Source organism: Homo sapiens, chromosome 19 (assembly GCF_000001405.40).
Source record: "Homo sapiens chromosome 19, GRCh38.p14 Primary Assembly".
NCBI lineage: Eukaryota > Metazoa > Chordata > Mammalia > Primates > Hominidae > Homo > Homo sapiens.
The window spans coordinates 30656907-30681141 of NC_000019.10; the positions used below are offsets into that span (position 1 = coordinate 30656907).

The 24235-nt window shown below is 47.6% G+C and overlaps 1 protein-coding gene and 1 long non-coding RNA gene across 32 annotated transcripts in view; one reads left to right on the top strand and one right to left on the bottom strand.

Annotated features, from left to right (window-relative positions):
- ZNF536 (zinc finger protein 536) overlaps positions 1 to 24235 on the top strand; it is a 487995-nt gene that overhangs the window by 431315 nt on the left and 32445 nt on the right. The gene's annotated exons all lie outside the window — the stretch shown is intronic.
- On the bottom strand, positions 6415 to 13300 carry ZNF536-AS1 (ZNF536 antisense RNA 1). Its single transcript, XR_007067216.1, has 2 exons — positions 11675 to 13300; positions 6415 to 8854 (listed from the first exon to the last, which is right to left on the bottom strand). It is a non-coding gene; the product is annotated as a ZNF536 antisense RNA 1 (long non-coding RNA).

The following is a 24235-nucleotide window of genomic DNA, read 5'->3' on the forward strand; positions in this document are numbered from 1 at the left end:
CCTGCTTTGAAGGCCTTTCTTTCCTTTAGTTATCTCCTTCACAAAGCCTCCTCCCGGAGTTAATTCACAGGCACTCATGGCCGGCCCTTTTGCAGGGACACTAGAAAGAATCAGCAGGGTAAATATTTCATCCGAAACCACAGAGATGCTGGCATTGCTGGTGTGAAAAGTGTAGAAAGAATACACTCAAACTATGTCCCTGCGTTTTCCCAGTGGTATGTCTTGACCACATGTAGCCAGCTGGACCCTCCAATCCAGGAGCACCTTAGAAAGTCAGATGCATCTAACAGACTGGGGGAGAGCTCTGGAGAGGGTGCTATGTGGGTTTAAGCTGGAACGTGATGTCCTGTAAGTCACCAAAACTGCCTCAGCTTTAGTATTCTCTGTGTAATGACTATGAAAATAGAATCTACCTCAAATAGTTAATCACTCTACAGACTTGGAGAGTCCACAGGCAACGAGGCTTCAGGGAGATCACTGAGAAAGCAGCAATGTCCAAGAGGCGGCCGCCAGCAGACCCTGTGCTAAAGCCACCTCTCCTGTGGCAGCTAGGAGACCAGACTCTCTCGGTATTCCTGCCACTGCTCCGACAACGTCTTGATCTTTCCTACTGACCCTCTCTCCCTTCTTTGCTCTTCTGGCCCTCCTTGGGGCTCAGCCCCGCTTCTCTTTCTCTTCCCCCTGCACTCTCTTCCTGGAAGGACTCATCCTTCCTTGCAGATTTCATGCCTCTCTTCTGCTGATGATTCAAACAGGCACTTGCAACTCTCTTATCTTCTCCAGAATTTCTTCTCTGATGTTCTCTTTGACTTCTCCACTTTGACATCTAACAACCTCAAACCTCAAAACTTGCAGTTATCCTTGATTTCTCCTCTCTCTCCAGTCCACCAGAAAGACCTGTTAATTCCATCTCAAAAAGAAATCAATCCAGAATCCTTCTTCCCTTCCATCTGCACCCTGAGGAATGGGTGTCATCTCTTACCTGGATTATGCCAAACTGATCTAACAGACCTTACCCAAACGTTTTTACACGCTTCAGCTAGAAGGAACTTCTGGAAATGTAAATCAGACCATATATCCTCTTGTTTAATACCCTTCAATGGCTTTCCATTCCCCCCCCCCTTTTTTTTCCTTCAGATCGTGTCTCGCTGTATCACCCAGGCTGGAGTGCAGTGGCGCAATCTCGGCTCACTGCAACCTCTGCCTCCCAGGTTCAAGCGATTCTCCTGCCTCACCTTCTGAGCAGCTGGGACTACAAGTGTGCATCACCATGCCTGGCTAATTTTTGTATTTTTAGTAGAGACAGGGATTCATCATATTGGCCAGACTAGTCTTGAAGTTCTGACTTCAAGTGATCTGCCCACTTTGGCCTCCCAAAGTGCTGGGATTACAGGTGTGAGCAACCGTGCCTGGCCTTTCTGTTCCCGCTTGATTAAAACCCAAGCTCCCCTCAGCCACAATGCCCAGAGTGATCAGGTCATTGCCCAACCTTCAAGCTCATCTCTCAAGCTCTGCTCCAACCCACAGATCTTCTCTCCGATCTTTAAATCGGTATCCCAGCTCTTTGCTGACACCTCAGGGTCTTTGAATATACTGTTCTCAATGCCTGGAATGAATGACAACCTCTCTCTGTCACACACACACACACACACACGCATACACCTGGCTTTGCCTGGCCAACTTTTTCTCATTCTTTGATGATTTCTTACCTTCCACTCAAAAATGGCTATTCCTCTGTTATTCCCTCTGTGGGTCCCATTTTAACTTCTTAGCAGTTATTAAAAATTATGTGTGTTTGACTTCTTCCTCTTTTTTTTTCTGGTCTGACTCTCCCACCGAATTGAAAACTCTAACCAGTCAGAAACCATATCTGTCTTGTTCACAGCTTAGTCCCCTTCACGGACTACAGTGACCAGCCCAGAGAAGAGAAGAGGTTCAGCACATATTTCTTGAATGCGTACATAAGAAAATATACAGAGACATAAACTTGCTAACATTTGGCCTAGTTGTTAGGTACATAAGTAAACATTCATTTTTACTCCTGTTTAAAATAGGTTTCTTGTATCTGGGCAGTTTGTCAGCTCTCAGGTGGGTCCATTAGGGATGTTGAAGTTTTGCTGTCAGGAAATCTGATTTTACCGTTTGGGTGGGGATTTCTCAGAGATTCTTGAACTCTTTGGCAAAGCTGGTGGTGATGCAGTGTATTAGTCCATTCTTGCACTGCTATAAAGGAATACCTGAGACTGGGTAATTTATAAAGAAAAGAGGTTTATTTGGCTCACAGTTCTGCAGACTGTACAGGAAGCATGGCTGGGGAGGCCTCAAGAAACTTAGTCATGGTGGAAGGTGAAGGGGAAGCAGGCACATGCTTCTTACATGGCCAGGGCAGGAGGAAAGGAGGGAGGTGGGAGGTGCCACACACATTTAAACAACCAGATCTCGTGAGCACTCACTCTTGTCATGACAAGACCAAGGAAGATGGTGTTAAACCACTAGAAACCACCCCCATGATCCAATCACTCCCACCAGGTCCCACCTCCATCACTGGGGATTACAATTTGTATTAGTCTGTTTTCAAGCTACAGATAAAGACATACCCAAGACTGGGTAATTTATAAAGAAAAAGAGGTTTAAAGGACTCACAGTTCCACATGGCTGGGGAGGCCTCACAAACATGGTGGAAGGTGGAAAGCACGTCTGCATGGCAGCAGGCAAGAGTAGAAGTGCCAGCAGGGGAAATGCCAGAAGCTTATAAAACCATCAGATCTTGTGAGAACTCACTCACTATAAAGAGAACAGTATGGGGGAAACAGCCCCCATGATACAATTATCTCCACCTGGCTCCACCAGATTATTACAATTTGAGGTGAAATTTGGGTGGGGACACAGCCAAACCATGTCACTATTTGACATGAGATTTGGGTGGGGACACAGATCCAACCATATCATGTGTGCAAAGTATGGCCTATAGAGTGAGCACTTGGACTCACCTTTCTGCAGAGTCTGATTATGTTCAGTCTTTGCTCCTACCCTGTTTGACACAAGGGTGTGTGTGTGTGTGTGTGTGTGTGTGTGTTTGTATGTGTTTATCCTCTTCAATAGATATCAATGATTTCATAAAGCCCCATCTATACCTCCTTTGAAAAAGCCACAGATAACTTGTCTAAGGGATTTGTTCACAAATGATAGTGACAGGCTGGTCACTTTGCCTATTCGTGGAGAAACAATTGTTGTTTTCTTGTCTCTGGAGACCTGCAGATCTGGTTATTTTTGAAGATAAACCAGGCAGAAGGAAGGAAAACCCACATGATGGTAATCCTTCAACAGCCATGGCAGTGTGCAGTTTCAGCACCCAGGCTCTCTTTACAAAAACGACTGAGTGTCAGAGCACACACCTTTCCGAGAGACGTTGTTTGACTATTTCACCTAAGAGCTGTCACAAAGAAGCCATCTCTGATGTTGGGAAATGCTGTTGACACCCCTGGTTCTACATGGATCCCTCTCCACCCTGTCATCTCTTTGGCAGCGTGGAAATAAAAATATATGTATCATTTCATTTCCGGGGACTCTGCTGTTAAAATATATAAATGAAAGAAATTGACTTCAGGCCCCAAAATAAATATATAACACAGTAAGAACTGATAAACTAATAAATATCTATCACCGTTATATTTCATGATTTCCCAAAGATATCTGAAGAGCACTTAATTGTTACTGAGTAATCAATTATTCAATTAACCTTCTTCTCATTGAATATATATTTGATACAACTTTTTGAAGCTTCAGCTTTAAAAGGTTCCTATCGATTGCAAGTTTCAAGGCCATATGGCCTGAGTATTGGATTTGTGCCGTCATGATTGACAGTAGCGGCTAGTAATCACATGCAACTATTTCAGATGGTGTGAGTTTCAGTGAGGAGGTCACAATGGTGATGTTCATTTTATAGATAAATATATTTATGTGCATGTGTGTACATATACATACACAAAATCTCTGCCTCATACATGCTCCGCAGCAGCCTTCTGCATTTACACATGGCGCCTGTTTCGTTTTGTGCAAACATTGACCAAATACAGGCCCCACTCCAGACGTGAGCCCAGTGTTCCGAAGAGTAACTGCATCATCTCAGAGGCCACCCGATGATTCCGTGATCGGAATTTTGGAAGTCTTCTATTTAAACAAGATAAGAGACCAGCAATGCTCTCAAATTCAAAAATTAAATTGCATGAGGCTTGGAGTTGCAAGTTGAAAAAAAATCATTTCAATTCAAAGGAAATCTTTTCTGCTCTGCTTTGCTCTGGTTTACTTCTCTAGACTCTTCTTAGGCAACCTTGGGTGTGTAAGAGACTACATTGACTGACTCTCTTAATTTAATCTTTCTTCTGATGACAGATTTTTGGGTGAGTGTGCAGAATTGAATAGTGGTCATGATATCCTTGTGTGATATAAGTCAGCAGATGCAATGCAATGTTCAAGAACTCTTTGTGGTGTCCTGCAAAGGAAAAGGCTGGTATAATGGATTTGTAACACATCCCTAGAAATATGTAGTCCTGTGAACACTGTGTTATTAATATAAATAGGTGCAAGCTTTTGGGGGGGCCAAATAAAAAATAAGTATCAAATAGGTATAAAATGTGTGTTCCCTCTCACCCAGCAATTCTACTTATTGGAAGTTTTTCCAAAGAAAATTATCTGACATGTCGGGGAAAGACTTTCGCATAAGGATATTAATCAACACATCCTTTATAATGAGGGGAAACTTAGAAAACAACTGACAAGCCCAAGAATAGGGGTGAAGCTAAATTAGGCACTTCCACATGAAGAAACACCATGTAGCTATAAAATTATATTGCAGAGGAATAATTAATGACAGGGAGAAATATTGACCTTACCTATAACATTTAGTGAAAGGCTGTATTTGAAGCATACATTGTATAAAAACATTAGATAGTTATGGCTGGAAAAAATATTTGGAGTGAATTTACATTCAGAATGGCCAGTGGTTTTTTTCTAGATATGGAGATGGTGGGAGATCATTCTTTGTTCTTTGTGCTTTTCGTTATTTTCCAAATATTCTATGTGTTTGAATAACCATCCCCTGACGACCTTGAAATTAACATAACTTAATAGCTCAAAGCTTAAATTATTTGATGCACCCAACTTTCCCAAAAATAGCACGTGATTGTGGAGTCCCTCCGATGCCATCTCCTGCCCTGTCCTCTCTTAATTCTGCCTCCCGGCTCCCGGATGGAGACAATGCTGAGCTGTGGGTGCTGGGATGGGCCCCCCAGAAGACGGTCATAATCAAGATATTAGCAAAGACTTTCTGTCCTGAAAAATGCCGTAAACAGACTCGGTTTGACCTCCTTAATGCAGGAGCACTTTAGTAATCTGTGCCTAATGATTTTTTACATTAAGTCCCAGCTTGTGTTGGGCCCTTGTGAGGCACAGTAATTTAAGAACAGTCATTTTGCACATTCCGATCTCATTATGTTACATTGTTACTGAATAAAGACTGGTATTATGTTGCTCCCATAAAGGGCAGAAGTGGCCTGAATTTTATCTGCTGAACGAATCAATCTGGATTATGTCAGTTGAAAAGAATTGTGGACTGCAGTCTCTCCCGCAGATGGGGGGGGATAGTTTTTTGTTTTTTGATTTTTTTTTTAATGTATCTGGTTGTTCTGAATACATGAACTACGATAATACCTGGTGGTGACTGAGTAGTAGTTTTTCTCTCTTATTTTTCAATGAAGAGTGTACCAATTATCATTTCAACATAACGTATTAGGAGATCAATTGGAAACTGAAAGCCATTTCCCCATGTTAATGCTGTGTTGTGTTTAAGCTGCCCTGACGGCCGGTCGGGGCTGTGGGAAAAGGCTGAGCAAATAATGAGGAAAGAGCTTAGAAAATAGACAAGGGTGGGGCTTGGCAGGGGATGTGAACTATTCATCAACAACTCAACGAGGATGATGGAAATAATAAGTCCTCCTTAAAGAAAAAAGGGAAAATTTTTTCTCTTTCTCTCTTTCTTTCTTTTTCTTTTTCGTTTCTTTTTTTTTTTTTTTTTTTTTTTTAAGAAATAGTTTCCCCTTTGGGGAGGAAGAAAAGCACATTTAACCCTAACTTTGTCCTGCTTCTCCATGAGCTGATTTCAAACTTCCTGAAATCAGCCAATACTTCCCTTTGAAATGGATAGTGCAGGTTTAAACAGTGGGCATTCTTTAGCAATCAGTTTAAGAAAACAGTGTCTAATTTCCTGTCCATTCCTGCACATTTCTTAGCACATGGTAGTGTCATTTAATATCTAAGTACAGTAATGCTGTGCTTTAACTTAAGAAAATGCAGACAAACCCCCTGAGTGAAATAATTTGTGTGATCTTTGAACTGACCATGAATAAAATCAAGCCCTTACTATTTGCCCTTTATTTATACAGTGGAGAAAACCTTTGAAACCCGAAACTCTGCAGGATATGGTATATGCATACAGTATGTTTCTTAAAATTATATAACTCTGTTGCATTTTATAAGTTTCCCCAACTTCTCCAGCCGCCATTATACGACGCCTTCCAAATATTTACCTTAGAAATGAATACGATTTTCTAATATTATTGCATTCAGGAGTTGCTAAATTTCCATTCAGCAGACCTAATTCCACCATCTGTAAAGTTCTAGATTTTATAATACTTATAAGCTGTTTCTAATCTATTTTTACTGCCTTGTTCTGTCCTGAAATGTCAAAGAGTGCAGAATAGGTCTTGGAATTAACATGACAGTTAAGAAACTTGGCAAGGTTTTACAGCAGACTGTGACATTAACAAAATACAAAGGAGAATGGTGAAATTAACATTAATGTATGCTTGCAGACACTATAAAAATCTATATGTCCATGATCGTGGAATTAAAAAATAGGCATGTTTTTAGGATGATGCTATTAAAGACAGATCTTTACTATGAAAGGAAATTTCCATATGAAAAGCAACTTACTAAAAGTAATGCCATAATCCCCTCTCTGGAATGAACAACAGGTTTACCGTCCTAGGTCAAGTAGGCATATGGCTGTCTCTGGCTGCCAATTTTTTTTCTAGGCTTCTTTAATCTGTGATAAAACTGCTTTGAAAGCACTAATAGCATTTTTTCACAGCTGTGAAGGAGATCATATGATACATGTACCTAGAAGGGGGATCATTTGTTTAGATTCACAGATTGAAAAAATAAATCATTTAAGACTCACTTTTAATTTCATCATGGGAAGATTTCAAATAGTGCTATCTAGAGGAATTCTTGCTGAGTTTTCTCTCTCTCTCTCTCTCTCTCTCTCTCTCTCTCTCTCTCTCTCTCTCTCTCTCTCTCCCTCTCCCTCTCTCCCTCTCTCAGCAGCTGCTAGAACCAGCCTGTCCTGTCCTAGTTACTCCTTGGTGACTGTAGTTGTGTAAACTGTAATAACCCTGACCTTGGGCTGATGGACGCTGATTTAGGAACCTGCAGTCCTGGCATTTGAATCAGGCCAGGCTGCTGGAGGGCGGGGTGGATGGAGCCTGGGACTGGCTCTGCAGGCTCAGAGCAACAGGCACTGGTCAGATCCCAGACTGAGGCTCCACTCCTGCTGTCTGGGTGATCACAGGCCAGTTGCTTAACTTCTCTGAATCTCACCGGAAAATAGAGGAATCAAAAATACCCACCTACATAGGTGGGATCTGTGAAAGGCATGTATGTCTACAAAGTCCCTGGCACGTAGTACCATTTATGCGATTGTTTTTGTTTTTAATTGGATAGTGGTGAGAATCGGGGAGGGTGGGGATGGGGGAATAAAATCCTGGCCTTTGAACACACTCTGCTCCCTGTGGAGTCAGTGTGGCTGGCATCAAAGAGCGCTTTCTGCTATGAAGATCTCTGATCCCGCATGTACTCTGGACCCTTCCCGGCTGGGAGGGCTGAGGGCTGATGTCTGGGCTGCCAGCCCAGTTCTTTAGCCCGGCAACTTTTCACTTCACCACCCCAGCCTCTGTTTATCTTCCTATAAATAGGTCACAATAGTGCCTCCTAGAGGCTCCATGAGAGTAAAGCGAGTTCTTCAACAGGAAACACTTCAGGCCTGGAAAATAATATCCAGTAAAAAAATTAAAAGAAAGTTTAAAAATGCATAAGCAGTGGCCAGGCGCCGTGGCTCATGCCTGTAATCCCAGCACTTTGGGAGGGCGAGGCAGATGGATGACCTGAGGTCAGGACTTCGAAACTGGCCTGAGCAACATGGTGAAACCCTGACTCTACTAAAACTATAAAATTAGCCAGGCATGGTAGCACATGCCTGTAATCCCAGCTACTAGGGAGGCTGAAGAAGGAGAATCGCTTGAACCAGGGAGGCAGAGGTTGCAGTAAGCCAGGATGGCACCATTGCACTCTAGCCTGGGCAACAAGAGTGAAACTCCATCAAAAAATAATTAATAATAATGATAATAATAATAATAATCCATAAGCAGTAATGCGTTGTTTGAAGAGCTGTCTTGGGGGATGTTTCTATGTTGCTCCCTGCACACAGCAGACTGGGGGGATCAGTGGAGGAAGCTTAGCTCAGCTCAGTTGAGAGATCCATGGCCCTGTGGGCTGAGGAGGGCCTGCCTGGGATTGAAGTTTCACAGGAAAATCACCTTTGCTGCATTTCCTGAAAGTGGCTCCTGAAGATCCTGGTCACTCAAAGGCCATGTGACTGGCCCAGGAGGGTCTGGTGCTGGGTAAATTCTGTTTCGAAACCATCTGGAGATCCTTGCTTCTGCCAAAAAGACACCCTTTCCATGTCCATTCCAGGCTCGAGGGAACAAGCCAGGTTTCCCTTTTGCTGGACAAAGTGCTCCTAGAAAACAGGTTAAGGGGATCAGCAGCAGCGTGGAGAGATTTGGGGTTTGGGTATTTGGGGGGCCCTAGGCAGCAGGCACAGTCACTAGGGGATCAGAGGACTGAGAGGAAAGGAGGGGTCACTGTCTGGAGACATTGCACATTCTGGTGCACTGCATGGACAGGTGATTCCTGGTGTGTCTGGGATTCCTGTGGTGGCCCCTTTTGGGAGACTTTATTTGGGATCCTGGGGTCCAGGCTGGGGCCCCTGCAGCCCCAAAGGGCTCTGAGGAGGGACCCTCGATACATCTCACCTAGGTACCCATGAAGATGGGACTACACCAAGTTTGTTGCTTTAGGGTTGATCTAGACAGAAGGTGCCTATCTGCAGACATGCCACAGACATGCGTGTGCATGCTCGCTTGCTGATCACGGCTCACCTGGTCTCCCAGGAGGTTCTGAGCTTAGGCCCAGCCCTCCCAGCAGCAGGTGCACTGCCTCCCAGTCTCCCATCACTCAGGATGCTTGAGCTGCTTCTCATCTTTGATGAGGTGGCTCAGGCCCTGCTGCTGGGTTCCTTCTCACATCAGAAGCTGGCCGGGTCCGACACGTTCCCTCCTGTCCGCTCTTCTTTTCTCCCTCCCTTTCCCTGCCTCCTCCCTCCCTTCCACTCCCTCCTCTCTTTTCTCCCCTCTCCTCCCATCCTCTGCTGGGGATCCCGGCAGGCACTGGCTGCACTCACGTCCTTCCACCAGTAGATGGCGGCCTCTGCACAGAAGTGGAACCCACATTTCTATTACTGTTTAGGCTTTGAGAGGGGGCTTTCTGAGCCTCAAGGTGGGGTGTTCTAGGAACAGCTCCGGGCTCTGGGGGTAGCAGAATCCTCAGAAGCCCACACATGGGGTAAGGCGGGAGCTGGAAACCTCGCGGATCTAGTTTCCCTTGCCTCAGAGCTGGGACCCAGAAATACCTTTTAATTGCTTTATTTGTTTTCTCTGTGTGTATATATATAATATAAATATACACACAAAATATATATATTCAAAAATATATATGTAAAATATATGTATGTGTATATATGTGTGTGTGTGTATATATATATATATATGTATGTATGTATGTATGCATATTTTAAAAGACTTATTCACATTGAAAATCCAGGATATTTTACAGAGCATATCAGGCAATTTCTGGAAAAGTCAGAAGTTGTGGTAACCCTGGGCTCATGTCTCCTGGGCCACAGGGGAAGGTGCTGAGTATCGCCTGACCCTTGGGGCAGCTGTTCTCAGGCCTACCTTGGTGTAAGCTCTTGCCCTACCCAATTTTCCCAGGAATGCAAACTGTGCTGTAAGCTGGGCCCTCTTGTCTAAACTAACCTCGTTAGCATCTCGCAGTAGCACAGCACCGAGGACTAATGACTGAACACATGCTGTGTGCTGTAGACCTCCCGAGCACCAGGTACTGTCTCCATCTGAATTCATTTACACGCCTGAACAGGTGTAATTATCCCCAGCTTACAGAAGGGGAAACTGAGGCTCAGAGGAGCAATCGCCTGTCCCAGTAGCAGAACAGGGGTGACTTGCACACAGGCTTGCCTGGTGGAAAAGCTGGGTTAGTGCCTGGTTGGCCCTTGGGTGCAGGGAGGGGGCACCTGCACCCTCCCACGCTATCAGCCTCTCCCTCTGTGTGCGTTAGCTGCTTTCTGTGTCCATCCGGGAGGCCTCCCCCATGCCGAAGCTGCCTGTGAGTGGGAAGGTGGGTGGTTAGGAGACCTGAAATGCCGAAGTGTCCCCAATGGCCTGGATCAAGGTTAATTGAAGGGACTGACCATGACTGTGTATAAAACAATGTCAGAAGACTCTCTCAGCTAGAGTTTTTTCTAGCTTTTTTTTTTTTTTTAATTAATGAGAAGTGAGGTAATCTCACCTTTTCAGATTCCCAGAGTAAATGAAGACCTACCTGCTCTGGAAGCCCAGAGCATGTCAGGTTGTCTTGGATATAGAGTACATGAACAGCTCCCAGCCTATTTACTACAGTACTAGATAACAATAGCAGAGCAGTAGTGTTAGTATACACTCAGCATGTCCTGAGTGCTTGCAATGTGCTAAGAACTATGCTGTGAAGGTCAAACCCTATAAGGTATACATTGTTATTAGCCTCATTTCATCGATGGGGAAACGCAGGCTCAGAGAGGTTAAGTAACTTGTCTAAGGTCACACAGCTGGTAATTGGCAGGGCTAGATTTGAAGCCAGGTCCTCAGGGCACTATCCTTTCAAGGAATTCTATCGAAATGGCATGTAATTGGCTCTAAAATAACTGGAGTGCCCTTCAGAAGTGCTAACTGCTCCAAGTTATCTGGATTCTTCTTGGATGTTAAATGTAATATTAGAAAAAAAATTTTTAGTTCATGATGATGGTCTTGGCCACATTTTCTCTCTCTCCAGGAAATAAATTTTTGCAAAATTAAGATATTTATTTGCCCTGGAGACTCTACACCATGTAGAGATTCCACAGTGGGGGCTCCTGACCTTGAGTTTGAGGGGAGGGGGTGTGATTGACTTTCTTTTGCTTGCTAGGACAGGTCCTGCATCCCTGGGCCAATCAGGGGCCCCTTCTAGAATTTTCTGCCTAATACACTGCTAACCCTGTCCCAGGCCAGGCTACAGTTGCTTCCTGGTGTGTCTGAGTTTTTGTGTGGGGGCGCCTTCTGGGAGCTTAAAAGCTCAGGATCTTGGCGGCCAATTTGAGGGTCCCTGCAGTCCCAAAGGACACTGAGGAGGGACCCTTGTTATGCCTCTCCCAGGTACCCGTGAAGATGGAGCCACCAAAGTTTGTTACCTTAGAGTTGACCCAGATCTGTGGTGAGGGGAAGTCGGCTCCAGCCTCTGCGCTGCCTCTCTCTGCTGATGGCTCCCTGGGGGCTCGGTGTAGGTCTCCTCTATAAGGCGGGTCATATTTGCCACACCCACTTCGAGGCCATGTGAAGGGGCCGCGTGGGAGGTGCCCAGTTCTTGGCTGGTGGAAAAGTCGTTTGTTGCTGTGATCACAGGAGCTCCCAACTCATTCCACCTTCTCTAAGCCAGCTCCGATTCCTGAGGACCACCTGTGTGCCCAAGCCTGGTTGGGGCGTTTCTGGTTAATTAGGAAAGGGATCCCATACCCCAAATGCCCAGAAGAAGGAGCCAGAGGTTTAGAAGGGCCAGGCCACGGAGGAGCAGCTCAGCGAGGGTGGTCTCTGAGTGGGCAGCGGGGGCAAGGGTTGTCGGGGGACCCCCTCACACGCCTGGGTGCATTGTGCTCATGGTGGCCCCTGCCCCTGGAACTATGAATGTGGCAGTCCTGGAGGCTTCCTAGAGCCCAGCTAGATCATTCCTGGAGGGAAGGGGACAGCAGGAGCAATTGTCCCAATGCCACAGTGGGGCGATGCACAGGCGGCTGGCGCTCCCTGTCTGTTTTTGGAGAGGAAATGACACGACCTGCAGCTGGGTAGACTGCCTCTTGTCTGGTCGGGTCTCCTCCATTTCTGTTCCTCACGCGCTTCCCTAAACTGGGCATCTGGCAGGCTCAGCCGGGCAGACGTGTTCCAAGGACCACTGGCATTTGTGATGGCTGAGTCCTGTGCCTGCGGGAGGGGCGGCCCCCATCCCTCACACACTCCCTTTAGGCGGTGCCTGGCCGTGGTCAGCTTCCCCGGGGACTCAGCCTCGGTGTCCAGCCTGATGAAGAAAGAAGGGACAGGCTCCTGGAGAGTAGGGGACTGCCAGGCCACTTCCGCAGGCAGGCGGAGGGGTCCCTTGGCCTCCCTGTCCTCAGCCCCGGAGAATCCCACTCTCCTGCTGCGGGGACCTGAACTTCGGGAATCCCGAGATGGCCGCAAGAGGGCGCCCGATCCTCGCAGAAGGACAAGGCTCCACTTTCCCTAAAACCTGAAAGAAGCTTGCAGGGGGGCTGCGTGGGGTAGAGGGCACCAACTGACAAACACCCAATTTTGCTGTCTCTCAGGGTGTTCGGAGCAAGTATGGAAATAAAAACTGTTCCTATTGTTGGAAAAAATTAAAGGAGAAAAGACCTCAGGTTAACCGCTTTGTTCAATGACGTATTCATTGTGGCAATGTGCACGAATAGAGCGTCTGCTGAGTGCTAGGCTGGAGGAGTTCTATGAACTAGGGCGGACTGGATTGTTCCTGCTTCTACAGGAGGGAAGAGAACGAAGTGGGCAAAAGAGCTGAGCCCAGAGTCACACAGACTCACGCCTGCATCTGCCTCTCTCCAAAGCAGCTTTTCCCTTTCCCCTCATCCTGCCCAGGTGGGAGAGGGCGGGCCCGGGACTCACGGGCTTCTTAGCCTCTGGCGCAGCATGGCGTCTTGTGGCTAGGTGCCAGAAGCTGGCGGAAGGAGGGGTACGTGGGAGGCTTAGTGCAATGGGGGAACGAATTCCTGAGGCTCCTCTCTCCTCCCCATCCCGCCCATCCCTAGGGCCCAGCCTCAGGCTTCCTCTGAGACTCCTCCCCTCCTGCGCCGCTTCTCATTCGCTTAGTGCACTGGGATCAGCATGCCTGAGTTCGAATCCCGTCTTTTGCCCTCATTCGCTGAGTGGCCTTGGAAAACTGTGGCATTCATTTGGGCTGGGTGTTCTGCCTGTGAAATCCGTGGTCACGATGACTGCACCTGTGTAGGACGATCCTATAGATCAGATGAGAAAATCCATGCCAGGAAGGCTGTCTGTGGGATGCCCGGCCCATGGCAAGCACCTACTCAACACGGGCTGTTAATATAGTCCTTGTCATCGTTGTCTTCTCGGCCTTGCCAGGTTGGACACTGAGCTCCCCCGCAGACGGGTCTCGGGGAATGAACTGTTCACTACGAAGTCCAAAGAGAGTTTCATTTGGTTTTGTTGGGGGAGGCATTTCCCAGGCTCTTCCTCGTGGAGTCTGAGAACAGAGACAGAGGCCTTCCTTCCCCAGAGACGCCTTTCCGGACTGGCCCCTTGGTGCCTCTGTTGCCCACGCCCTTCAGGCAGGTTCTGAAGGCAGGAGCCATTCCCGGGTCCATCCCTTCAGCCCGGGAGCCTGGCTCTCTGCTGTATCCCTGCCAGGCTGTAACAGCGAGAGCACAGAGAAGGTACTCTGTCCACTCTATCAAATGGATGAATGATTGCCCATTTCATGGCCAAGAACATTCTGCTGCTCTATCCAGGCTCCTCTCCCCACCCCATTCTGCCCATCCCTAGGGCCCAGCCTCAGGCTTCCCCTGAGACTCCTCCCCTCCCCTTCTCTTTCTCATTCAATCATTCTTTCATTTTCCCGTTCACTCAATGCACGCACGTGCTTCTGCATGTGAGGCTCACCACAAGCCCTAGAGGAACAAGGATGAATGCATCATTATCCTATCTGCCAGAGGATCGCCATGGTGCAGGCCCACAGGTACCTAGGGGGTATAACTCAGCATGGGTGTTGCCCTTAGGCAAATCATCAATGACCCATGTTCAGGCTTGACATTGGGGAAGGGGTCATGTGTCCAGTCTGAAATCTGGAGGAAATTGTTAGGTGCCCGTGACATAGTTGGGGGCTTCCCAGCCAAAGGAGTAGCATGTGATGATCACTGGAAAGGTTGGCCCAGCCGGGGAGCTGAAGGGTCTGTCCTAGAGCAAATGCAGAGGGTGTGGAAGCAGTGACCAGGGACAGGCCTGGAGAGAGACTGTGGCCAGGTCACGGAGGCCTTGTCAACTCAGCAGAGATGATGGCGGCTTCATCCAAGTGACTCTGGGGCTTCAGGGGTGCAGAGCAGGAAGAACTGAGGGAGAAGGAGAAGGGGAAGCGGGGCAGGGGTGGAGGCCCCAGGTGCTGAGAGGGCACAGCCTCACTGGAGGGAGGTGGCTCTTCCTCAGTGACCAGAGGTGAGGAGGAGGCGGGCAGTCTGCAGTGACATGGGGATATGTCTAACTAGTGTTTATAGCACCTGCGCTATCTCAGGAAGCACTAGGTATAAATAGATACTCAGCAGACATTTGTTCAGTGACGAACAAACAGCCTCAACTTGGGTGGTTGCAATTTCAAAATGCATTCTTCCGACCCTGGGAGGCTGCCAAGATCCTTGCTTGGCAAGATCCCTGAGAATGTCCTTCTAGTCCTGGTACAGCTGGAAGGATCTCTGGGAGGGTCTGTGGCCATTGGACTTGAGGCATCAAGACAGGCCCATCATCTACCCAGGAGTTCTTTTCTCAGTAGGACTTTACGGAGCGTGGTCACCGCCCTGGGACCCGGCCCACTCAGCCAAGGCTATGTCACTCACTGGGGCCGTCCAGGCCTTCACTTGGGTCACCCGATTCCCATCTCAACGTTTCTTTTTCCTTGCTATAATATTTTATTCAAAACAAGATAGATTACTTGGCCAGAGAAACTGAACCCAGACAGACAGAAAATAGCTTCCCCTTTTATTCTGCAATTCAGAACTTCTTACAAATGATCTGCCAGTTGGGGTGCCCCATCCCCTGGAGGAGTCTGTGTGTGCAGAGGGGCCATAATTGTGCTGATGTTATAGAGACTTAAGTGACCACCCCAGGGCTGCCGTTGCTCAGGTGTGTTTCTGGCATTCCCAAGTTGGTACCCTTACATGCAATATTTTACATTAGAATGCATGCGTTTGAAATAGCGAATTGGTGAACATGTAAACCAGATGCTAAGAGGGCTTTGAGAGCTAGCCTGGGCACCCAATTACAAAAGGGGCATTATTTCCACAGCAAAGCATATTTCAGGGTCCATACAGCAAACAAGGTCAAATCTGAAAGATGGGGTCTGCAAACCTCCATCTTCTTTGTAGTGATGTTTTAATCCCATTCCTCTCCAATCCTAGCTCAAGAATCTGTTAGTAAGAGCATGGGGGAGAATGATGAGAAGCCTGGTTTAAAAAACAAACACATCAAATTCTCTGCTACCACTTATGAGTTCTGTGACTTTAGTCCTTTGCTTGGAATCTTCCAGAATCATACCCTAAGATAAGGATTTAGGCACAGGCAGTTTTTTGGGAGGAGGGAGAGAAGATCCCAGGAAGTACAAGGAGGGAGTGGGGGGAGCAGATGTAGGCGTGTTTTGAAGCAGGTGATCCCTGTGGGAAATGGAGTCTTATTCCTGCTGGGACCCTCCGAGGAACTATGTGGACAACCTCAAGAAAGCTGCGGTGTTTATAAGCCAGCCCCTATCCTGTCTTGGTTGAGTGTATTCCTGGGGTGTTCACCCTTTGGCCCTTTAATCCAATAAGAGCCCATGACTGGAGAACCCCCTTGGCCAGAAAGCCCCATATGCTTTGGCATATGTGGAAACAGCCTGCAGGAGATGGCCCAGGGGAATGGGTGAGGACTCCAGTGCCCCTGTCACATGAGAATCGAGCCTCTCCGAGCCTCCGTTTCCTCATCTGCACTGTCAGCTGTTCCAGCCCGCCTAGGACCCTTCCAGGGTGATCTGTATGATCTGTGTGACCTATGAGACATGAAATAGTGACAGATCTGAGCAGAAGCCAAGCACAGCGCCTGGCCCTTCAGGGGCACACATGACATCACTGTTGTTTCATCACTTTTCTGCTTGGTCTTCCTCTGCCTAGATTCCAATATGAATTTTTTCAGTTCATCTTCAAATCTCTGCTCTCCTCTCCCTGGGGGAAATCTTCATTGCTCCACGCTGGGGTCCTGAACCCACTGAAAACATTCTCTCTGTGTCTGAGAAGCTGACTCAGATTTTCCTTTTGTAGACGGGTCTCCCGCCCTGTGCCTGCCACGGGACTGGCACATACATCGCCCGCACAGCACCATGGCCCTGGCCACCCAGGCACATCTTAAATAAAAGCAATAGTAAAAGAGTCAAGCCAACCAGCCACAGCCACCCTTTTCTCCTCCTGTGGCTGAAGCCTGCAGTGCCCCTAAGCCTGCTATCTCGTCACCTCTTCCTGCCTCTGGGGCACACATCCCAACCTAACTCTCACATGCGTGCCCACCACCCCAAACCGTGCACGGACGCACGTCCCGATGTCAGGTTCCCCATGTTTATAGGTAAAATATTACTGGTGACCGACACACAGCCTTTTTCTCCTACGTTGTCATTTTATGTTAATTGAATGCTAGTGTTAATCTAATAGAGTTTAGATTTATGTTGGGTTCTGTAGCGAGTCATATTTTAATCAATACACATTCCAACATTTAGATGGACAGATGAGAAAAGCAGCTTCATCTCCGCACTTGGGTTCCATCAGCTGTCAATAATTCCCCATTTGAATCCTTCAGATGGTCAGATTTATGGGTTTGAGTATATTGCATTCATCACAGAAATTAACTTTTGGTGGAACTGATGTGAAAGCTCACATCACATCTCCAAGAGGCAGATATTGTGTTTCAGAGCTGAGGCACTCGGAAATATTATCTGAGAGGAGCAGGTTGGCGGGGTGACAGCAGGAGATGGGATAGGGGCCTGGGTGGAGAAGGCTTTCAGGGCACAGTGCTCCTTAAGGCACGTAGGCATCACTCTGTGTCCCGTAAGCAGAGCTAGGGCTGGTTCTGGGCATCCTGTGCCATGCACCCTGTGCCCAGGCTGCCCGGGGATGGAGAGGGAGTGGTTGCATAGAGTCAGGTGAAAGAGGATGCTGTTCCTGCCAGGTAAAAGACTGAAAGACTCTTCTCTTGTGGACCTTGGCTGGTCCTACTCTCAGGTTAATTTCTCAGGAAGCAGAGCCAGAGTTAAGAAATCAGGGCATCCAGGTTTACTTGACATGTGACTGATGGAGTATTGGGAAGGGAAGGAAACCAATGGAGTGTATGCCCTCAATCCAGGTGGGCAGTTGGAGTTTTGGGGAGCTCTGGGACCTGAAGAGCACTCCTCAGAGTGACCCCACCTGAGAGGTGAGGAAGCTGCCTTTGTCTGGTAAATTGCTGCCCATCGTGGGTGGAGGCCAGCTTGAGCTCTAAATATGAACTCGGAGGCACTTTCAGCTTGTCCAGCTTGCCTCTGTAGCTGGGATGTCAATAAAAGCCTCCTGTATAGTGTGTTCTTGGTTGGTATTCGAGGTAGGCAGCTTTTTGCATTTAGAGATGGGAGTCAAGTAGACAGGGCAGGACATGCTCAGAGATGGTCCTTCCAGCCATCCCCCTGTGGTCAGGGAGAATGACACCCTGCTGCTTGAACAGGTCACGTGGGCATCGGGCTGGGCTCCACTGCTTACCTGCCCGCCTTGTCAAAATCCCTTCCCCCTGAGAAACTCCTGCAGCTGAAGGTGGCTGAGAGGCTCTGTTTCCACAACTCCCAAGAGACACAGATAACAGTGCAGTGCTCCACGAGGCTCAGTTTCTCTCTCTGGCCTCATGTTCTCTGGCTTTCATTCCTGTAGCTATCTATAGGACAGTGCTTATTGATCTTGGAATCCGTTTGCCGCACCTCTAAGGAACTGGATATGCCATTTAGGCTTTGGGGGCCATTAGACACTTCCACAGAGATTTGTATCAGAAGTAGCAACCACTCGTCTCTGTTTCTGCCATGTAAACAGGCAAATGGATTTGCCCTTGAGTTTGCTGATGCAAGCGTTCAAAGTGCAATGAGCCCAGAGCTTCTACCTGATGGACCCCTCAAAGGTGTCCGTTGCTCTATGGCCAGTGAGCAGAGACAGGTGAGAAAGGACGCTGTTCCTAACAGGTGAAAGACTGAAAGACTCTTCTCCTGTGGACCTCGGCTGGTCCTACTCTCAGGGCAACTTTTCAGGAAGCAGAACCAGAGTTTAGAAATCAGGTCATTCAGGTTTATTTGAGATGTAACCCATGGCTTATCACGAAAGGAAGGAAACCAAGAAAGTGTGGATTGGAGAAGGAGCTGGGAAGGCTCACAGCTGCATGCCTTGAAATCTCATCTTGAGATGTCTGTTTCTGCTTTATTTCCAGAGGCAAAGGTAATGAGTGCGCCCACTCTGATTTCTCTGTCTCCTGGCGCCCAGAAAAAAGAGGAGACATTCCTTGACTTTCCAGTCTAGCTATTCTTTCTTCAGAGGAGACAAAAAGATGGCTATAGAGATGACAGCCCTCTCAGTTTCTCTCCATGAAATGAGTGATCAAGAGTGAGGTCTCATGGAAATGCACTCTTGCTTTTTTATTTTTTATTTTTGACACAGGGTCTCACTCTGTTGCCTAGGCTGGAGTGCAGTTGTGTGATCATAGCTCACTGCAGCCTCGACCTCCTAGGCTCAAGTGATCCTCCCACTTCAGCCTCTTACATAGCAGGGACTATAGGCATGAGCCACTACATCAGGCTAATTTTTTAATTTTTTTTAATAGAGATGGGGTCTCTCTGTGTTGCCCAGGCTGGTCTTGAACTCCCGGGGTCAAGAGATCCTCCCTTCTCCCAAAGTATTGGGATTACAGGTGTGAGCCACATGTGCTGGGCCAGAAATGCACTTTTGTTTTTAAACTTCAAACACTTTGGGAAATTCATTGACTCTTCATGTCTTTGCATGCAGTTTATTCTGGGTGCTCATGGGAAATGATTTCCTTGCCTCTACTGTGAGCAAGATGAACATGAACCTTTGTGCATAAAACCTGAACTGTGCCCATTGAGAGTCTATGGCCATCTGTGAATGTGTAAAGAAGATGGCTTTCACTCTGTGAGCCCCTTGTCAACATTGTAGGACAGGAAGTCACATGCCTCCATCATAGGTCTGCCTCGTGATCACAGCATTATTTGAGAACATATCTGTATTTGCAAAAATCCATTATAACTCCCTTGTTGTTGGGGATGCAGTTAATAAGTGAAGGTAACACAAAATATGATTTCAAATCAGTTTAATAAAATTATTCATGTAGATTTTAAATCATTTTTACAGTTGATTTAACATTTGTGACTGGTTTATAGATTATGATATAGGATGGTGTTTGCATCTTTGCAATTTTATTCCAATTTAGAAACAGTACAAATATTAATTTTTGCTTCAATAATGGAGCCTTAGAGAATTAAACTTGTCTTTTCTCCACACACATTTTATGAAAATGATTTTAATATGATTTTAAATATATCTTTTGAGGAACTTCTTGCAGGGAAGCCCTTTGAACAGGGACTTAAATGGGAGTATCTTCTCAAAAGTTTCTTTTGAGACAAGGGTGGACATTTTATTTATTTTTTATGGAAATGGAGTCTTGCTATGTTGCCCAGCCTGGTCTCAAACTCCTGGCCTCATGTGATCCTCCCACCTCGGCCTCCCAAAGTGCTGGGATAATAGTTGTGAGCCGACACACCCAGTCAAATATTGAGTTTTTAAGATATTTTGCTTGTGAAAGAAATGGCGTGATGCCTTTTCTACAATTGAAGAAAGTTCTGAAGCTTCTAGATGTGGCTTCTTAACAATTATGAGCCCAAATTAATGTATACCTTGGCTCATACCTGCTGGGCTGCCGCAATCTCCCTGGGGCCAGGCCAGCTGGATCTGTGCTGAAACCAGACACCTGGCTGGTGCTCGGGAGAGGTTTTGGCTTCACAATCCCAGCCTCTGATGGTTTTCTTGGTTACCTCAGGATTACCTGCTTCTCGGTTTCTTATTGGTGTTATACTTAAGATCTCAACAGCCAGGTGACCATGTGCAGGCATTGGAGTTGGCCCTATCAATTTGGCCTCTGAAAGGTGCCCTCCTGGCTATTGATGCATCTGCAGAGGGCAGCACAGTGACAAGGACAGGGCCCTGGCCACCCTTGGCCATCCACCTGGGGCTGTGGCCAAGGCACTTTCCAGCTCAGCACAGTGTGCCTTGGCGAGGACATTCACTGCTCTCCATGCAGGATCCTGGCCCTCAGGCCCAGAGCAAAATGTCCCCCGGGGACACAGGAAAAGCTGGCGGCAGGCTGACCTCTTGGGTCCTGTCTAGCTCTGACCCCTGCATGCTGCAGATACAGATAACTGCACTGTTTTTGTGAATTATATGTAATTGTAGAGACTGGGATAACCAATGACTTTGATCTTTTGCGATTTTTGTCTTTCCTGGCATCAAGAAACCACTTAAAAGCCTCCTAAGACCCTGAGCTCATAAAGCCCAAGTGAGGGGTGCTGCACGTGGCCTGCCCCCTCTGATTTGGGGGGACTTGGTGATCCCTGAATGGGAGTCTCTGCCCAGGAAAGGAAGGGCTGTTAGAGAGGGGATGGGGTGAACGGGAGGCACCCTGATGGGCACAGGTAGCCCCCAGCTATCACCCTGAGCCACCGAACTTCCTTCCTTGGGAGGAGAAGAGGCAGGGTTTAGAGACTTCTTCTGGCCACGGTTGAGAATGTCAAAAGCTTGAGTGTTCGGTGACAGTTTATATTTAAAAGCAAACTATTTCAAGAGGATTTGGGATGAGAAATTAGACTGCAAAGGGTCCATGAAAAAGCAGCATCAAGAAACAATCAACAACTTGCAAGAGAAGCAAGGGGGTGCTGTCTTCAGGGACCGGAGAAGCCTCCATGGTACCACAGCTTTCCTCTTCAAAAGGCTGGGCCGGGTTATGGCCGCTGGCTGGGAGATGCTCAGGATGCGGGACAGGTTAGGGGCACTGTGTGCAGGGGGATTGCTCAGGGTCCTCAGCAGGGGTCGGAGAGGCTCACGGCCTTTCTGGTCTCCCTTCTGAGCCTGGATATCGGTGAGAGGCTCCAGGAGCCGAGTGCAGAGCCGATCCAGCCCAGCCTGTGACTCTGGCCACAGGCAGAGACCTGCACAAGCTCTGGCTTCCCTCCCTCCCCATCGCCCACTGTCCTTCTTCACCATCTTCTCTCAGGAAGCAGTTACCTGTCCCAGCTCAGTTTTCCCTTCTGCTCACAGCATCTTGACAGACATGGTGGGAACCCAAGACAAGAGAAGGCATGATATTGCTCTTGAAACTGCAGATCCCAGGCAGATCCTGGCACTGGACTCCTAGAGCCAAGCAGGGAGCCTTGGGAGAAATCAGACTATGTCTGGAGCTTCCTTTAGAATTCCTCGGAGCTCCTTGGTACCCACCCCCAAGCCCCCCCACACACACCTATACCCTTACTGTTTAGGCTTAACTTTTGCTTTTTGCCCTCTGGAAATAGGTCAGTTAAATCTTCATTCAAAATAAAGAGATTAAGGAGGCTGAGACAGAAGGGTCGCTTGAGGTCAGGAGGTTGAGACTGCCTTGAGCCAAGATAGTTCACTCCAGCCTGGGTGACAGAGTGAGACTCCATCCTAAAAAGAAATGAATAAAATAAAATAAAAGAGTAGCACGTTGTTACATAGATGACAAGTCCCCAGTGAATAGCTGCAGGATCCCTGCAGCCCCCTTCAACACCGAGCCAGCCGAGACATGAGTAGATTCTCTCAGTGGCAACAGGTGATTTTTCTTCTGTGCAGAAGACAGGGGTGAACGGGCTGCCCATCCTTAAATTCTGAGGCCACACAGCTGCATGGAGGTCGGTTCAATACAGGCTCAGGACTTCCCATATCCAGGCACCAGCCCGATTTTTTATTTTTGAAAGTTAATCCATCTGTGCGGTGGATTATCAATAGCTGCTTTCCCTTAACCACCGCTTCACAGCTATCTGGGATCAGAGAGCAATTTTGGAGCCCGCAGCTAGATGATGGAGGTGAGGCCCTGGGCCGGGAAGGAAGGGAAAGGAGACGCGGCAGCTGAGTCTTTCTTGGCTGCAGCAGAAACAAGGTGGCTGGGGGTGGCGCTCAGGAAACCCTAGGGTGTGAGGCTTTAGCTGCTGGTGCCAGGAGTAAAGCCCACCGGGCTGCCTGCCAGGGCCTGAGGGTGCAGGGCTCTGTGCAGCTGTCCCCTCCCCTCCACGAACTGCCCCCTCCCCACGACTTCTGGGAAACGTCACCTCTTTACATCCAGGAGGCAGAGCCCTTGGTGTGGGGCAGCAGGGAAGGGCCAGATCCTACTGTGGCTGCAGGACAACCCAGCAGGAAGGTCAAAGGCAGGTGCGTGTCGGCTCCCGGCAGTCTGCAGACTTGCTTGGCTGGGTCCCCCAGAGCCTCTGAGGGTCTGGAATTGGTAGTTAACATTTAAAACTCAAGGGATTTCACATAAAAACCTGTTTCTGGCTTCTCTGGAAAATTGAGAGAAATTGCAATTCTCAACCTGTTTTGCGGGGAGAGGGGGGTCAGCTCTGGGCATCCAGCCCACCTGGCCCACATCGGGAACTGGAGTTACTTGCCAGATGCACAGGTGAACGAGTTTCCTGCCACCTGGTCATCCATGCTGTCTTTACCCAGGGCCTCTGTCTCCACTGTACGCCCTGGGAAAAACCCAGGCCAGGGGAGGGAGGGAGGGGTAAGGGACACTGGACAAGGTTGGGGTGTGTGCTGTGCCCAAAGAGGGGTCAGGCTGAGTGGGAAAAAGACTCCTGGGTCTGGAGGCCGGAGATGACAATCCTGCCTCCTCTCTGTCACACCGGGGACAAGAAATGGGGAGGCAGGGGCCCCATGCACAGACCCTGCTGTTCCTTATCTGTTCTGCAACTGTCGTTTATGATTATTATTTTTATTTTATTTTATTTTATTTTATTATTATTATACTTTAAGTTTTAGGGTACATGTGCACAATGTGCAGGTTAGTTACATATGTATATATGTGCCATGTTGGTGTGCTGCACCCATTAACTCGTCATTTAGCATTAGGTATATCTCCTAAAGCTATCCCTCCCCCCTCCCCCCACCCCACAACAGTCCCCAGAATGTGATGTTCCCCTTCCTGTGTCCATGTGTTCTCATTGTTCAATTCCCACCTATGAGTGAGAATATGCGGTGTTTGGTTTTTTGTTCTTGCGATAGCTTACTGAGAATGATGATTTCCAATTTCATCCATGTCCCTACAAAGGACATGAACTCATCATTTTCTGTGGCTGCATAGTATTCCATGATGTATATGTGCCACATTTTCTTAATCCAGTCTATCATTGTTGGACATTTGGGTTGGTTCCAAGTCTTTGTTATTGTGAATAGTGCCGCAATAAACATACATGTGTATGTGTCTTTATAGCAGCATGATTTATAGTCCTTTGGGTATATACCCAGTAATGGGATGGCTGGGTCAAATGGTATTTCTAGTTCTAGATCCCTGAGGAATCGCCACACTGACTTCCACAATGGCTGAACTAGTTTACAGTCCCACCAACAGTGTAAAAGTGTTCCTATTTCTCCACATCCTCTCCAGCACCTGTTGTTTCCTGACTTTTTAATGATCACCATTCTAACTGGTGTGAGATGGTATCTCATTGTGGTTTTGATCTGCATTTCTCTGATGGCCAGTGATGGTGAGCATTTTTTCATGTCGTTATGGAACATCTGCCTGCCAGGTGTACCCTGCACCCCGCCCCTTTCTATTCCCCAACTTTCACTACAGCCCCTTTCCGACTTTCCGAACCCCAGGGGCAACCACACTTGATC